Raw genomic sequence first — 18,713 nt, 5'->3', positions numbered from 1 at the left:
GGCCCCTCCTCGACCCGCGATCCAGGAGCTGGACCCTGGTACTGGGCACCGTGCAGCCTCCAGGGCCGCGCTGAGCGTCGATTCCCGCCCTCCTGCAGCTGGGGACCGACCCCCTCACTTAGGCGCCCTGGAAGCTTCTGGCCCAAGTATCCGCCCTGCTGCTGGCACGGACAGGGTCCGGGTTGGAGCCCCCGCTGCCGCGTGCCATGTTCAGGTGGGAGCTGCACCTGAGTCCACGGTGGAGGCTGCAGGGCTGGGCCCAGACCGCTGAGGGTCGCCGAGTGCACCGCCCTTCCACCCTGGGCTCTGCTCTTCCTTGGCCCGCGCTGGCAGCGCAGGCTCGCGACCTCTGGGCCATGTATAGTTGCCAGGATGAGGCTTTGCGGCAGGTTCCCGCCCTCACACAGCTGAGGTCCCACCGCCTGATTTAGGCGCAGTGGCGGCGTCCGACCCTGGGGTTCCCCGCTGCTGGTGGCACGGACAGGTTCTGGGGTTGCCACCGCTGCTGCCACTACAGGCATGAACCACCGTGCCAGGATGTAATCTTTTTTTCTTGAGACGGAGTTTGGCTCTTGACGCCCAGGCTACAGTGCAATGGTGCGATCTCGGCTCACTGCAACAACCTCCGCCTCCCAGGTTCAAGCGATTCTCCTGCCTCAGCCTCTTGAGTAGCCGGGATTACAGGTATGTGCCACCATGCTGGCTAATTTTTTTTTTTTTTTTTTTTTTTTTTTTTTTTAGTAGAGACGGGGTTTCTCCATGTTGGTCAGGCTGGTCTCGGCAACTCCCGACCTCAGGTGATTCGCCTGCCTCGGCCTCTGAAAATGCTGGGATTTCAGGCGTGAGCCACCGCGCCTGGCGGGTTACTTTGTAGGTTACTTTGTACTTTAAGTAACATGGACGCAGGCCGGTCGCGGTGACTCTGGCCTGTAATCCCAGTATTTTGGGAGGCCGAGTCCGGTGGATCACCTGAGATCGAGGTGGAGACCTGCCTGGCCAACATGGAGTGAAACCCCGTCTCTACCACACATACAAAAATTAGCATGTTGCCTGGTGCCGTGACTCAAGCCTGTAATCCCAGCACTTTGGGAGGTTGAAGCGGGCAGATCACCTGAGGTCAGGAGTTGGAGACCAGCCTGGCCAACATGGCGAAACCCTGTCTTTACTAAAAATAGCTGGGCGTGGTGGTGTGCGCCTGTAATCCCAGCTACTAGGGAGACTGAGGCAGGGAGCATCACTAGAACCTGAGAAGCAGAGGTTGCAGTGAGCCGAGATCAAGCCCTTGCCCTCCAGACTGGGTGACAGAGCGAGATTCCGTCTCAAAAACAAAGTCCAACTAAAAATAAAAAACAAATAAAAAATAAACAGTCTAACAAGTTGTAGAGACTACATTTCATTAACTTACTCTGTTTTCTTTGTTAGTTTACACTAAATAAAATTTCATTGTTACTTATTCCAGAATAGGCTAGAAAGGTATAATGGGCTCTTTTATCCATTGAAGATGAAAAACAGGAATGATTATTCTTGGCTATTCAGAGGTCCTTGAAGGTCCTTGGATCTTCACAAAGGAACTCACAATTTCTGTTCTTCTGACTTTTATCCCTAGTGAATTGACGGAGTCTCGCTCTGTCGCCCAGGCTGGAGTGCAGTGGCTTGATCTTGGCTCACTGCAAGCTGCACTTCCTGGGTTCACGCCATTCATTCTCCTGCCTCAGCCTCCCGAGTAGCTGGGACTACATGTGCCTGCCACCACGCCCAGCTAATTTTTTGTATTTTTAGTAGAGACGGAATTTCACCGTGTTAGCCAGGATGGTCTCGACTTCCTGACCTTGTGATCCACCCGCCTCAACCTCACCAAGTGCTAGGATTACAGGTGTGAGCCACCGCACCCGACCAGGGGTATTTATAGTCTTATTGATCCCAGTTCATGTGATTATTCATATGATTTGCCATTAGAGTTATTCCATAATAGGCAGAATATTTACCACATTACCTTTCTAAAATCTAAATATTTTCGGATTGTAATTTCAAAGAAATCTGACTTGGGAATCTTATTTTGAAATCTGATTCTAAGGAATTCGGATAAGCTATTGGAAAATATCACAAATGACAAAAATTTTGCATTAAAATTGTTGATAAATTTAAATCACTTTGCAGCTGAGCGTGGTGGTTCACACCTGTAATCCCAGCACATTGGGAGGCCCAGGCAGGTGGATCACGAGGTCAAGAGATGGAAACCATCGTGGCCAACATGGTGAAACCCCGTCTCTACTAAATATACAAAAAATTAGCCGGGCGTGGTGGCGCGTGCCTGTAGTCCCAGCTACTCGAGAGGCTGAGGCAGGAGAATTGCTTGAACCCAGGAGGCGAAGGTTGCAGCAAGCCGAGATCGCACCACTGCACTCCAGCCTGGTGACAGAGCGAGACTCCGTCTCAAAAAAAAAAAAAAAAAAAAAAAAAAAAAAATTCAATTACTTTGTGTATATAAGGGTCTAATTTTTAAAAAATTGTAAAATATCCTATACCTTCATTAGTATTACTTATTTGTTCTTGTCACTCCATCAATGTGAGGCGTAAATAAAATTTGTTAAGTTAAAACTTTCGGTGTACTTTCACTCATTTATTTATTTTGAGACAGAGTTTCACTCTACCATCCAGGCTGGAGTATAGTGGCGTGATCTCGACTCACTGCCACCTCCGCCTCCCAGGCTCAAGTGATTCTCGTGCCTCAGCCTTCCAAGTAGCCGGGACTACAGGCATGGGCCACCATGCCTGGCTAATTTTTAAAAGTCCTGTATCATATAAGAACATTAGAATTCTGGGATTATTTTTTGTTTTTGTTTAAGAGACAGGGTCTCACTGTATTACGGAGGCTGGGGTGCAGTGATGTGATCATAGCTCCCTGTAGCCTGGAACTCCTGGGAAAAGCAATTCTCCCACCTCAGCCTCCCCAGTAGCTGGGACTACAGGTGCTTGCCACAACGCCCATCTAGTTTTTAAATTTTCTGTAGAGATAGGTCTCACTATGTTGCCCAGTCTGGTTTCAAACTTCTGGCCTCAAGGGATCCTCCCCACTTGGCTTCCCAAAGTGCTAGGATTACAGGTGTAAGTCACCATGCCGGGACAAGAACATGAGACTTCTCTTGCCATTTTTTTATATCTAAGTGGAATAGCATAGTATTATGTGTCAGTGTTGAATTATTTTAAAATATTATGCACTGAAACATGCTAATAATCTGGGTCAGTTTCTATCTTGACCTAGGTTTAAACATATTAGCTAACATGAGGGGCCCAACATTAATAATGATTCCATACCATCTCCTTATTTATTTATTTATTTATTTATTTATTTATTGAGACAGAGTTTTGATCTCTTGCAAAGGTTGAAGTGCAGTAGCACGATCTTGGCTCACTGCACCCTCCACCTCCTGTGTTCAAGTGATTCTCCTGCCTTAGCCTCCCGAGTAGCTAGGATTACACCCACCACCACAACCAGCTAACTTTTGTATTTTTAGTAAAGATGGAGTTTCACCTGGTTGGCCAGGTTGGTCTTGAACTCCTGATCTCAAGTGATCTGCGGCCTTGGCCTCCCAAAGTGTTGTTATTACAGGTGTGAGCCACTGCCCCCAGCCACCATTTCCTTTCATTAAAAATATGTGAGATGAAAGTAATTTGAGGGCAGTTATTTTCATATAGAGTCATTTTATCAAACAGGGATTAATATTAATGACTAGTATTAATATTTATTTTATCTAAAATTATGTCTGATTTTTCTAAATTCTCTGACTCGCTAATAATGTTAAACATTAGGTTTAATACATATAATTAGGTCTGTGTGGAGGCACTACGTAAATAAAATTGTTTTTAACATTTTGTAAGGTCTGCTGCTTTACAAGTCTTATTATCTTTGCTCCATTTTTAATACCAAAATTTTAACTGTGATAATTAGGCTGGAGACACCAAATCAAGGATATGTTTACATAATCACTCTCAAGGATCTCAAGGGTCATTTTCTGGTTACATTATGAAAATTGTAAAAGGAATCCAGTATATATTCCAGATAATAGCTCTTGATAAATCATATACATCTATATAATAGCTATAGATATAGTTTAAGATTTAGATCTAGATATATTCAGCAACTCTGTAATTTATCGAAAGGTTTTGGTTAAAATATAAGACATTCCTCAATGTAGAATTAGTTCTAAAAAATTGGTTGCAATGAAGAATGTTAACAACTTACCTTCCTGTTTTCTCTGAATATGGAACAATTCGAGATAGACATGGAAGTAAAGCATAATGAACTTTGGGAGGCCGAGGTGGGCAGATCATGAGCTCAGGAGATCAAGACCATTCTGGCTAACACGGTGAAACCCCGTCTCTACTAAAAATATAAAAAATTAGCTGGGCGTGGTGGTGGGCGCCTGTAGTCCCAGCTACTCGGGAGGCTGAGGCAGGAGAATGGCGTGAACCCGGGAGGCAGAGCTTGCAGTGAGCCGAGATCGCGCCACGGCACTCCAGCCTGGGCTACAGAGCCAGACTCCTCCGTCTCAAAAAAAAAAAAAAACAAAACAAAAAACAGAAGTAAAGCATAATGAAATAAACATGTGATCTCTGTAGCTCATGGTGTTGTTGGCGTGGTGCTTAGCAACAGGGATTTTCCTACACTACACTCCAGTACAGAGCACAGAGCAGAAACTTTATCGCTAAATTTACCGCACAGCAGAGGCAGAACAGAATTCATTTTCACTGCAGGCTGGGACATCCTAAAGAGAAAAAACGTGGAATGGGTGATATGAGCTACCCTAGTTTCTTTCTTTCTTCCAATATCTCCAGTCACCTCCACTACTGATCTAGTGAACACAGGCGCAGGAACAGTGCCCTAAACCACATTCGATGTCCTTCAGTATCTTTGCCAGTCGAAATTCAAAGGAAATATTTTAACTCAAGTAAAAAGAAGACTACAAAAGAAAGATAACCCACATGGGGATAGCAGAATTTTTTGTTTTTGTTTTAAAATCCCTTGTTTTGGCCACAGGCACTCTGAGCTAGAAGAAAATATTTAGGAGAAGGATGAGAAATCCTTCTGTATTGAATAAGGGAATTACTTCCAGATGGCAGTGGTATAAATCTACCATGATAACAACTATATATATATATATATATATATATATATATATATATATATATATATATATAAAATGAAATATGTTTATAGAAAATGTCTGGAATCTTTTTATAGTCTACAGTCCTTCTCAATGGCCTTAATTTGCACAAATAGCCTCAAACTATTTTATTTAATTAAAAACTGCAAGAGATTAACATTTTCTCCTCATAAGGTCCAGTCAAGTATTTTTCTTTGAATGAAGAATAATACATTGCCTGTAAAAAATTAATTCTTTGATTTAGTAGTTAGCAGTGAACAGTTGATATGGTTTGGATGTTTTATCCCCTCCAAGTCTCATATTAAAATGTGACCTGTATTGTCGGATATGGGGCCTAGTGGGAGGTATTAGGTCATGGGGGCAAATCCCTCATGAATGGTTTGGTTCCCTCCCCTGGGTAATGAGTGGTAAAGAGTTTACAGGAGATCTAGTTGTTTAAAAGAGTGTGGCACCTTCCCTCTCTCTCTTGCTCCCTCTCGTGCCCTATGACATGCTGGCTCCCCTTCAAATTCTGCCATGATTGTAATCTTCCTGAGGCCCTCACCACAAGCAGATGCTGACACTATGCATTGTGTACAATCTGCAGAACCAAGGGCCAAATAAATCTATTTTCTTTATAAATGACCCAGTCTTAGGTATTTGTTTTACAACAACACAAACACACTAACACGCTGGTGAAAATCAACTTAAATACTTAAATACAGATAATAATATAAATTTAAAATGCAAACTAAGAGTTGTAAAATTTATATTTCCCCTTCAAAAATTAGCATTCTAAATTCTCTCCTTACTATTTGTTTTGCTTTATACACTTCCAACTTCCTATGCTCAAGTTTTCAGAAGACATTGAAGAACATCACATCATTAGAGAGAAGAAAAGGAAAAATTGGCTACAAAAATTAACCATACAATGTATTGAATTAATAGAGTTTTGCTGAACAATTTTTGTTAATGGAGTTTATATTTTTAGGTATAAATATTTTTCTGCATGATATATTTAGACAAAGTTTTTTTTAATATAGGATATTTGCAGCAAATGGTCCAAAGGAGCCCAATTATTAAACAAAACACAAATATAAATTGATTACAATATATCAAATATGCCTTAATAATTATTTTGGGTAGCTATAAAAAGTAGAGTTACAAGATTGAGAGGTACTTTGTCTTCTGTGAAGGCTTTTAAAACATGACGCTACATTTCCCACCATCAAAGATTTACTTGTAAGAGATTTGTCTTCATTTTGTTTTAATTAGACCAAACGATTTGCCCATGGGGCATCTAAACTCAGAATGAGTTTGACATCACAACACAGTCTATATTCTCTGAGGAAAAATGAAAGGAAACTAAAGGATTTTATTTTTCAGACATCAAATCACAAAACAAAACAGTCCAATTTTCTTTGGGTTCTCAGTGGTACATTTATGTCTTCAGGGTTTTAAAAAACCACACCGTTTTGCATGCTTAAAAATAAAAGATTCGGTTCAAGAGTTCATGTTTGTAACATCTTGGCAATTTTTCTTTAAATCTCTAGGTCTAAAACTTTGCTAAAATAAAAAATATTTAGTGAGAAACAAGGTTACATGTGTTGCTTGCTGAAAGAAACTGCTAAAGGGAATGCATTAAGATATGGAACACAATTATGCAAAGTAAATACTCAATTGAACATGCCAGAAGTTTCCTAAATTTAAATTGCTAAATGGCCATCGTGGAAGAATCATTTTAGTTTTAAATTCTATAATAAGCAAAATAACTTTCTTATATAGAAACATTTGTTCCTTTGTGTATGAACCAATCAAATATGATATATAAATTATACATAAGATATGAATCATATATAATGTAGCTTATCCAAACATATTTTAGATGAACCTGTCAGTATTTTTTACATTATCAACATAGAACTGTTATAAGATAAATAAATCATTTATTCATTTTTCATCTCAATCAATATTTATAAGAGATGACATAAGTTAGATGATTCAGCTAATCTACACTGAAAGCAGTGGATAAGTCAATTACAATTTTTGCTCAAATATGGAAAAAAATCTGACTGATTATAATCAAAATCATTAACTGTCATTTACTTTTCCTGAAAGCTCTTTATTTAATATAAAATCTAGACATAAAGAAACTAATTTATCCTCTTAAGCGCTATAAACACTTTCTCTCATTTCATTATTTTTTTAGTTGTCAATTTTGATAGTGTTCAACTAGAAGTCGCCAATAGGCAATCCACTAATATAGGTTCACAGTTCTCATATATTTTTGAAACACTGAGATCAACCTGTCCCCAACTCCACTCCAGAGGCTAATGTTGAAATATCTGCCGAAAGCAATGCCAAACCAATATCTCTGAAATATAGAGAAAGTTGGCTATTATAATTCTCTTCATGATTATATTTATAATTTTATGTATACATGAGAGACAGAGCAAATATTACACATGAAAAATAATACATTTTACTTAAAAACATGCTAAGGTCGGCCGGGCGTGGTGGCTCACGTCTGTAATCCCAGCACTTTGGGAGGCCGAGGCAGGCGGATCACGAGGTCAGGAGATCGAGACCATCCTGGATAATATGGTGAAACCCTGTCTCTACTAAAAACACAAAAAAATTACCTGAGAGTGGTGGTGGACACCTGTAGTCCCAGCTACTTGGGAGGCTGAGGCAGGAGAATGGTGTGAACCCAGGAGGCAGAGCTTGCAGTGAGCCGAGATCCTGCCACTGCACTCCAGCCTGGGCAACAGAGTGAGATGCCATCTCAAAACAAACAAACAAACAAACAAACAAACAAACCATGTTAAGGTCTACAAGGTCTACAACTTAGTCATTTCTTAACTATACGACGTTGGGTGGGCCACTTACTTAGTTTCTCATTATTTTGGTTTTCTTTCTTGAAAAGTGAAGAATTGTTTTCTTCACAATTATCTCATAATTGTTTTCTAAAAACATAAAACACAAGAAACATTGCCTGGCATTGAGTAAATTATTAGTTTTTAGTATTAGTACTGATTCACATTTTTCCTACTGAAAATTAGATAATGACTCCTCATATTCTGCATGATTTTATAGGATATAAATTTAGATACAAATCAAGACATATTTGAAATAACGTTCTATACATTCAACCTCACATTTAGTGGATGAAACCCCACATTTCTCTCTGATAGCGTAAGTGACATTCACATCCTGTTTTGCCTCATTATTGAACACAGTCTTACCTAATTTTCTAGATGTCATAATTTATTTACTGTTGTCTCGTTTTCATGGTGGTGTGTATACTGCATATTTTGAGACACAGTACATTTAATTGAGTTATTTTCTCGCTCAAAAATAAAACTAGTTCCACATCCATTGAATCTTCAGTTTAAACTTAGAATCTAAAATAAAAAAACTCTTCTATGGCAATGATCATAAACTGGTAAACTGATATCTCATGGGTTGGATTAAGGCTGATTGACAGAATGACCTTGCAGGGCCATGTGTGTGCATGTTTACTCACCTTAAAATAAAAGAATTTTCTGTATGGGTTTATTTTACTAAGATTAGTGAGCATTTTAAATGAGTCAGGTGCTTCTGATTCATCATCTACGTCCCTGCCCAGTCTCTCTGTACTCACAAATCAGTCTGAGTGATGTAATATCATTTGAAGGTAGACTGTGGTAAGTTAAAGCTGCATATTATGAACTATGAAGTAACTACCAAAATAAAAAGTTACACCTAAAACTTAATAAAGAAAAAAATAGGATCATAAAAATCAACATAAAGCAGAAAAAAATATGCACCAGAAAAGCATATGATAAAATAGAAAAGAAATAGTGAGATGTTAGATTTAAAACCAACAATACAATAATTATTTTGGAAGAGTAGATGAAATATAAATTCGAGGCTACCAATTTATTAAGTGGATTTTGAGGACAGTCACTGTATTCTTAAGAAAGTTCTATTAATTTTGCAAATACTTTGAGGGGTATAAAAATATGGATATAATAAATTGCACACTAAAGACAATAAGTGATGATTAAGTACTTTATCACAGATGCTACATATTTCCCAAATCCAGTAGAAATGTAATCAATTTGTTTGACAGAATTTCAGTCTTTCTATTAACAGTCTTTCAGATCAAAATTAAAGAAAATCATATTGTGTACTTGAGCGATGTCCTTTATAGAGTCTTCATGCTCGGTCATAGGCTCAATTGCATGTGTCTGATAAGAATTATAAATAATATGACAGTTATTTCAGTTAATATGTTCTGTTAATCTATTTCAATTCAGAAAAAAACTAACCTATTTAGTTTTAGGATCTAATATATGTGAACAAATTTGGGAGGATTTCTTTAATAATCTATATGCATTCTTTGTTTTACATTCTTTCAAGCAAACATATGACATGGACAAATATGTGCAAACAGAAAATCACTGCAGTATATTAGAGTGGAAATGCAATGGCAGAATTATTTTTCAGTAAGTTATTGGGTAAAATATTTGAGTCATGCTGAGTACAAAATATTTTGTTAAGGCTAATTAGGTTGCAGATTATAAAATGCCCTAATAGTACCGATAAACTAGACTCACCTTTCTCAAAAGAAAGTGACTAATAATATTTTGTTGCTGAGTTAAACAGAATAAATGTCTAAGAACTTAGCCATAAGGCTGAGATTTTAATTAGATATTAAGGTGTTCAGGTTAATGTAAATCAGATTTGCCTTTCTAGATAAAGAATCCAGATTGACAGTGGCATTAACATTGTCATTAAATCTTAAATAAACACTAATTTTCCATTGCTTGCAAGAATCTGACCTGGGAAAAGATGGAAAAAAAGGAAATACTATAGAGTTTTTTGTTAATTATCAAGCTTTTCCTTTGTGTTTTGTTTATCAGATATATAACCTTTCAAACTGAAGCTGATAATCACATGAAATAGTTTTTAAAAACTGCTTGTTGGAGTCAAATGACTACTCTTGGCTTTTCTTTCTTTTTTTCCATTTCCATTTACAATAGCCAAAAAAAGTTTCTTGTCACTGTTTCTAAATAACACCATGACCTCCTGCTCACAAATTAAAATGTACTGCAATTTTCTAAATAAGAACAATCTACCCCTTTCTAAAATTTCAAATTAAATGTGCTTTATTTTTAGTATACTGACCTACCCTGCATGTATAAATTAAATGTAAAAAACATTTTATGTTTAGTAGGGTTGAAAATGAGACTATTTTTCCCTTATTTTTTTCTCCTTAAAACTTATTAATTCCTTTTTATATTCTAGATCTATAAATACTAAAATATTCTATTAACTGCTCTAATCTTCATGTAACAGTGTAGGTTCTACCCGTGTAACAGATGAGGAAACCAAGGAGCACAGTTATTTACTAACTTGCACAAGGCAAGTTTCAAAATTGTCTTTGAAAATAATGATTGCTTTTAAGGTTTATTCTATAATGGTTTAAGATCATGGGTTACAGAAGTAGAACAACTGTGTCTAATTACTAGTTCTAATAATTCTTATGGAGATTTGTTGAGATTTTATACACACACATACATGTTTGTTTTTGTGTATAAGTATATATATAACAATGTCTTACACATATGGATTAGCTGTTTAATATGTGTGAACTATTATATTCATTACTCGGCATTAGTGTTTAGGTTGTTTCAATTTTACCCTCAAAATGTAATGACTTTTTGAGAGCCTATATCAAATTATTGGAAATACACATGTATTTTTTAAAGGCATTAGTGATTCTTAGTATTTGAATATGAATTGTGAAGATTAGTATTGAAAAAAATCTTGGTAACTTAATGAGAGTAGTTGCAAAGGTGTTCCTTCTTTTCCTAAATGAATTATAAAGTAACAGTATTAAAGTCTACTTGTTTTTACTGCTAAAGTTATATATACATATGTATATATATGTATATATGTGTATATATGTATATATGTGTATATACGTATATATATGTATATATATGTAGAATTTGAAGTTTTAGTTCATCTAACTATGATTCCTCTATCAGAGCCTTTCCTGAGGAAATTTTTTTTTTGATGGAGAGAGTGAAAAGACTAGGTGAACAATGAGCAGCTAAAGGGAGAATTAGGGAGTTCCAATACTGTGAGAATGGGATTCCAGGTGGATTTCCTGAAAATGGCAAGATTCATCAGAAGCCTTTCCTTATTTTGGAGTGTTATTTATTTATCATAATATTTAGCTTATTTCTTATTCTGCTGAAGAGTCTCTAGTAATCTGTGGTTTGTACTGACTAGAAATATATATTTCAAGGAAATTGATGATAAAATATATATAAAGCAAAATATAAACCTTTACTTTTAAAGATTGTGCTATTTGGTGCACAAAGAATGGTGCATGTGTTTTCTGAGTGAGATGGGAAACCAGAGAACAGAAGAGTCATACATTCTCACCTCCTTTTGAAAAACTGACAATGGCTCCTGGATTGAACTTAGAGCTGTCAAATCAGAAGCAAGAAAATCTAAAGGTCACTGTGAAAAATATATAGTAGAGAAAGGGTGGTGGTGGCAAGAACCAGTTATTGTGGCTACATATAGTGCTAATTGAATTTCCTGTTAGATTCAATACATGGTGTAAGATAAATAGAGGAGTTGATGAAAATTCAAATATTTTTGACAATGCTAATAGGATAGAGGCTATTTGCAAATATTTTTATATGTTCATTTTTATAAAATATGGAACCCTTGAATAAAAGCACATCTGAAGGGGGTGATCAGAGTATGAAAAGGTTAGATTGAGTTCCGATTGTGGCATATTAATTTGAGATTGTCTACCGTACTATATGTTCAAGGAAAAATGTCAAATTGTTAATTAAACTTGACTCTGGATTTTAAAATAGAGGCCATAACTGGCGATGCATTTTTTTTTAATTCTCAGCATCTAAATGATATTTGAAGCCATGAGACAGGATTTAGGAACCAGGAGAGTGAATCTTGATAATAAACGCAGTGGCCTCAAATTCAGCTGTGGAACATTTCAAAGTTACATGGTTGGAGATTGGACGATGAGTTTCTGAATGAAGTAAGAAGGACCTGCAAGCAAGACATGAGAGAGAAGAGGGAAGGTTATGTTGTCCCTGAAATAAAGGAACAGTTTCCAGGTAAATGGTAGTAGGAAGATTCAATGCTGTAGAAAGATCAGGCAGGAAGTAAAAGTTTATATTAGATTTTCAAAATGGATTTTATTTGTAACACTGGCAATAATAGTTTCATTTTGTTTTTTTGAAGTGTTGGAATGGAATTGATTCAAGTGAGAATGGAATGTAATAAATCAGAGCCTGATGTCCTCATCTGTAAAACTGAACAATACTAATAACTGTTTCAAAGAGTTTGTAAGAACTAAGTTAGATAATTTCATAAATTTTAAAACACATTACCAGGTATATAATAAATAATTGAAAACTGTGTTTAAATGTTTATTATAATTAATTATTTTTAAAATACTATTATCAAAAAAAGAATTTTAAAATAACAGTATAAAAGGATGGATATATTGCAATATCTGAATTTTTTAAAAATCTAGATAATTTTTATTATTGAAATTGCCAAACAGTTTGATAGCCTATTGGAATTTTAAATGGTGTGCATAAATAATTTAGGAAAAAGAACAGAGATTGAAGTTCATTCCTAGGCTTTTGTGTAATTTCACATACTTTCAAGTTAGATATATTACATATACAAAGTAGACTTTAGATAGCTGTACTTTTATATTTAGATTGAGACAGAATTGGAAATATTTTGTAATATACATGTAGTTGGTGTAAGCCTGCTTACCTGAATCAGGGTTGTCTCTGAGAGTTGTCAGAATCACAGGATTGGCAGAGGCTGTATTGCAAATGGGTACTTTTATTTGTATTTATATCAATCCTATATTAGTCCGTTTACACACTGCTATAAAGAACTGTCAGAGACTGGTAATTTATAACAAAAAGAAGTTTAATTGACTCACAGTTCCATGAGCATGGATGCAGAGGCCTCAGGAAACTTACAATCACAGCAGAAGGGGAAGCAGTCATGTCTTACATGGCAGCAGGCAAGAGAGCGAGAATGAGAGAGAGAGAAAAAAAGAGAGAGCGCATAGGAGGAACTGTCAAACACTTATAAAACCATCAGATCTCATGAGAACTCACCCACTATCATGAGAACAGCATGGAGGAAACTGTCCCCATGATCCAATCACCTCCCACCAGGTCCTGTCCACAACAGGTAAGGATTATGGAGCTTACAATTCAAGATGAAATTTGATGGGGACACAGAGCCAAACCATATCAAATCCCCAAAAGCTAAAGCTGCGTGTGAGGGTGATGTGCTCTCTTTGGCCTAAAGCACTATATTAATATTTTCCTGCATACCTGAGTTTTCTTCCTGTATCTCAGATGAGAGTTATTCTTTACCTCGGTTTCTAACTTCCATCTCAACACGTCCATGAATGTAATAAAAAATAAGAAAAACACTTGAATTAATGCTTGGTATCTTTGACTGAAAATGAAAAAACAGTTCTTGATGTAAAGAACTTTAATTGTCAGAAGTGGCTGCACGTTGGCAATGATAAGACTTTTTGTATGCACAAGAGAAACATGTTTCTCAATTTGATTTCAATCATGCAATGTATGTAATTATAAAGTAATTGAAAATACATAGCTTCAAGGGCTCCTGTTTTTAAATAATAGATATGAGATAAGCATTTTGGACTAGACCCTTTGTAATTTCTATGACACTTTAGAAAACTAAGAATTATTCTGAAGCAAAAAATATAGATAAACTGGAAGAGAAGAGTCACAGTCATAATTTTCAATATGATTTATTCTAATTTCCATCATGCATTCATGTGCATTTTTATGAAGTAGATCTCATATCAACACATTTATTCAACAAACTATTGTTGTCATTCACTCTGTAAAATGACAAAGCCATAGTGACAAAAAATGTCATGGCCTCTTCCCAGAGTAACCTCTCAAGCATCATGAAAGAGTGATGTTTAATATCAAACTTTACAATGAAATAATGACATACACCTAGTATATAGTAGATTAATGAATTAACAGTCTCAGCAAAACAGGGAGGAATCTTTAGGTCTATTTACTAATAGTAATAAAAAGTATTCAGTACCTGTACACATACACACACACACACACACACACACACAATGGAGATTTTTATAATCAGTATTTGGCTACCAGTTGATTATTCATGGTGAGTCAAATAGAAAAGTTTGTAACAACTCCTAGCATTCTAAATTGGACACCTTACTGCACTAACAGAATATGCAAGAATACAATTGACACTTGAACAACTCTATAGAGTTGGGAGCACCATCCTTGGAGCAGTTGAAAATCCCCAAAAAGCTTTTGATTCCCCCAAAACTTAACTACTAATAGCCTGCTGTTGACCAGAAGCCTTACCAATAACATATAAAGTCAGTTAGCACATATTTTGTATGATATACATATATATAACTGTATTTTTAACAATAAAGCTAAAGAAAACATTAAAATCATAAGGAAGAGAAAATGTATGTATTGTTCATAAAGTGGAAATGGATTATCATAAAGGTCTCAACCACATTGTCTTCACATTGAGTAGGCTAAGAGAAGCAGTTGGCCCTGCTGTCTTAGGGATGACAGAAGCTGAAGAAAATCTACTATAGTGGAGTGGTGTAGTTGAAACCCATGTTATTTAAAGATCAACTGTAATTCAACTGTAATGTATTCAGATGAAAAGCTACTTATTTATCTTCCCCCTCTAACTTTAAGTATTTATTTAGATGGCTTTACAGGTAAAACTTAAAGTGATGGAGTTTAAGCAACAAATAGTTTAGTGTACTTTGTTAGACTAAGATTTTTTTAAAGATACTGCTTTTAAAATTATTTCCTTCTTTGGTCCAAACAAAATATTAGAGAATAGTGAAGTACTTTAGTCATTTATTTGTCTCTTAATAAGTAGATAATATTTCAGTTATAATATTTATGTTAGAAATATTTTTAATCCTGCTCATTGGAATAATTTGTCCTTGATATAACTTTATATACTTTTTGAGTAGCTAAACCATTAAACAGATACCTAAATATACATGGTTATTCAGTGAAAATCATCCTCAGTCCACTCAGTACAACTATTACTCAAAATAAAATCACGTTCTTAGTTTCTTGTCAATCTTTCCAATGGTTTTAGGCATACAGAAGCAAATGTTTTTACAAATATTTTGCTTAAGTTGCAAAACTAATATCATACTATATATATATATCAGCACCATTCTTTATTCACATTAAATATATATTGATGATTCTTCTATAAAAAGGGCTAGCTCCTTTTTTTGCTAAATGTCATTCCATTGTACAGGTGTGCTCTAATTTATTTAGGCAGTCTTGATCTGACACTTAAGTTATGTACAACATTTCACTATGAACGGCTCTGTGACAATTCATAATAACTTTAATATACAGTTGACTCTTGAACAACACAAGTTTGAACTGAACAGGCCCATTTATATGTGATTTTTAAAAATTAAAGTTACAGCAAGTGTGACTGCCTTTCCTACCTTCCCTCCACTTCATCTACCTCTTCTGCCTCTGCCACTCTTGAGACAGCAAGATCAACCCCTTTTCTTCTTCCTCCTCCTAAGCCTACTCAGCATGAAGATGAGAAAGATGAAGATCACTATGATGATCCACTTCCACTTTATGAATAGTAAATATATTTTGTATATTTTCTCCTCCCAGGTTCACGCCATTCTCCTGCCTTGGCCTCCCGAGTAGCTGGGACTACAGGCACCCGCCACCACACCCGGCTAATTTTTTTGTATTTTTATTAGAGATGGGGTTTCACCATGTTAGCCAGGATGGTCTCAATCTTCTGACCTAGAGATCCGCCTGCCTCGGCCTCCCAAAGTGCTGAGATTAAAGGCGTGAGTCACCGTGCCCGGCCTGATTTTCTTAATAACATTCTGTTATTTAGCTTAATTTTTTGTTAAGAATACAGTGTATAATACAAATTACATACAAAATATATTTTAATTTACTTTTTATGTTGTTAGTAAGGCTTCTGGTCAGTAGTAGGCTATTAGTGATTGAGTGGTTGTGCTTAAGTAAACTTTATTTTACTTAACAGTAATCCCAAAGCTCAAGATTAATAATACTGGCATACTATCTTAATTTTTTATTGTATTATTAGTTATTGTTATCTCTGCTGTTCCTAATTTATAAATTAAGCTGTATGATAGATATGTATATATAGGAAAAAACTTAGTATACATAGGATATGTTACTACCTGCAATTCCATGCACCCCCAGGGGGTTCTTGGAACAGATCCACTGAGGATAAGGGGGAACTATTATATTAATTAATGGCGCCATTCTTCTTTGCATACCTTAGATTCCAAATGCATATATTCTTTCCACTAGAGCCACAGAGCCATCAAAGGTCTTCTGTTCAACCTATCTGCTGCATCCTAGATGATGAAACACAATTCTCAGAAAGTACTGGCTCCAAACTGACATTTTAGCTGTGCGGGCCTTTTCAACTCTCTCTCCAGCTGACAGCTTCTGGATGGGTAAGTACGTCATCTCATGGTCATGGGCCCACTTGCTCTTCTCCTTTGCTATAAACTAGGTCTTGGTCTAATGTAATAATAATGTGTTTTCACGCCAGTGGAACCACGACTCTGCAAGTCCACAGATAGTAATGTTTGCTGTTGCCCTACAGGTAAGAATGGTACCCCCATACTAAGAATGTATATATGGGAGGTAAACATTGAGCACACATGGATATAAACATAGAAATAATAGACACTGTAGACTACTAGGGAAAGGGGAAAGGGTGGAAGGAGGGGGACGTGGGTGAAAAACTACCCCTTGGGTGCTATGCTCATTACGTGGGTCTAATATACCATGTAACATTTCTACACATATACCCCCGTATTTAAAATAAAAGCTGAATTTTTTTAAAGAAAAATTGCTGTAAATAACGGAGAGAAAATGACAGGGCTAATATTTTGGGAATCTTATAAAAGAATCATATTAAAATTATATAAGAATAAAGATAGGAGTTATTATCTTAGTCTGTTTTGTGCTTCTACAAAAAAAATACCTGAAATTGGGTAATTGATAAATAACAGAATGTTTTTTTCTCACAGTTCTGGGGACTGAGAAGTTTAAGATCAAGGCAGCCGCAAGTTTGGTGTCTGATAAGGACCCCACCTCTGCTTCTAAGATGCAACCTCCAGAGGGAGGGAACACTGTTCCCCACATGGCAGAACAGAGGAGCTGAAATTCATTTCTGAATGCCCTTTTCAACAGTTGTTTAACCCACCCATGTGGGCAGATCCCTCCTGGCCTAATCACCTCATAAAGGCCTCACTTCCCAATATCATTACACTGATGATTAAATATCAACGTTAAGTTTTGATATAAATATTCAAACCATGGCAGTTGTCTATTTGAATTTTACCTTCAAAAACTCTGTTCACTTACATTATCATGTGGAACACCATACTTCTTTGAGTTTGCTTCTTTCTTTCTCTCTCTCTCCCTCTCTGGATATGCCTTCTCAGTTCCTCTTCATTCAATTTATTCTGCCTGTTCTTTACAATATGTCTATTATTTAGAGATCAGTGACAGTTCAAATTGCTTCTTATTTGTAATGACTTTTATCTCATTTTCATGCCTTTAATTATTATTGATGGACTGATAATTCCCAGGTCTCTTCTGCCAGCTCAGATATCACTAATCATAGCTGGATTTATATATACACTGCTTTTGAGACATCATTCAAATCATGCTTCTCAAAAGATGACCCAAGTTCTTTGATTCTTAGTTGTTGGGGTGTGTGTGTGTGTATGTGTATGTGTGTGTGTGTGTGCACATATTTCTATACACGGCACTACTACAATTCACCCACACCCCAAGTCAGACACAAGTTCATTGACATTGTCACAGGCCACAGACAATGATGTCACAGAAACTCTTAGTGAAATTGTATACTTTTGAGGGTGCGATCCCAGAATCTGAAGCCAGAATCATGCTTTTTTAAAGTAACTGCATGATCTTGGGCAATTAATGCAATAATTCTGTGCCTTAATTCCCACATCTGCCAAATTGAAATTAAAGTAGAACTCAACACAAAGGTTTTTGTGTGGGTTAAATACATTGAGATATACACAGCACCTAACTATATAAACACTCTATGTGGCAGCTACTGCTGTGTTAAGAGTATCATGATTGATAACATCTACTAAATCTCTCCCTCTTGCCTCACTGTTATTTTGCTAATTCAGAATTCTATGATTTTGAAAGTATCACTGAAAAAGCTAACTTCTCTCTGAAAAAGCTAACTTCTCTCCTCAGTGTTGTTGGTTCATAATCCTTTCTATGTATTACAGTGATTTTACTAAAATGGGAATAGGATCAAGTTGCTTCTTTAAATAAAATTCTTTAATAAGGTTATACAATATTTTCCTATATGTTCATTCTTGTTCCTCCTGGCTATCCATCCGCCTTATTAGGAATTTTCTGGTTGTTTTATCTT

General features: G+C 36.2%; 1 long non-coding RNA gene across 1 annotated transcript; it reads left to right on the top strand.

Moving 5' to 3' along the window:
• The first annotated feature begins 643 nt into the window (after positions 1 to 643).
• On the top strand, positions 644 to 18,631 carry LOC105372007 (uncharacterized). Its single transcript, XR_935178.2, has 4 exons — positions 644 to 684; positions 12,070 to 12,292; positions 16,592 to 16,740; positions 17,323 to 18,631. It is a non-coding gene; the product is annotated as an uncharacterized LOC105372007 (long non-coding RNA).
• Positions 18,632 to 18,713: the final 82 nt, after the last annotated feature.

The sequence above is a fragment of the Homo sapiens genome, chromosome 18 (genome assembly GCF_000001405.40).
Source record: "Homo sapiens chromosome 18, GRCh38.p14 Primary Assembly".
Classification (NCBI taxonomy): domain Eukaryota; kingdom Metazoa; phylum Chordata; class Mammalia; order Primates; family Hominidae; genus Homo; species Homo sapiens.
The sequence above is the reverse complement of the archived record's forward strand: the minus strand, read 5'-3'. Positions and strand labels throughout refer to the sequence as shown.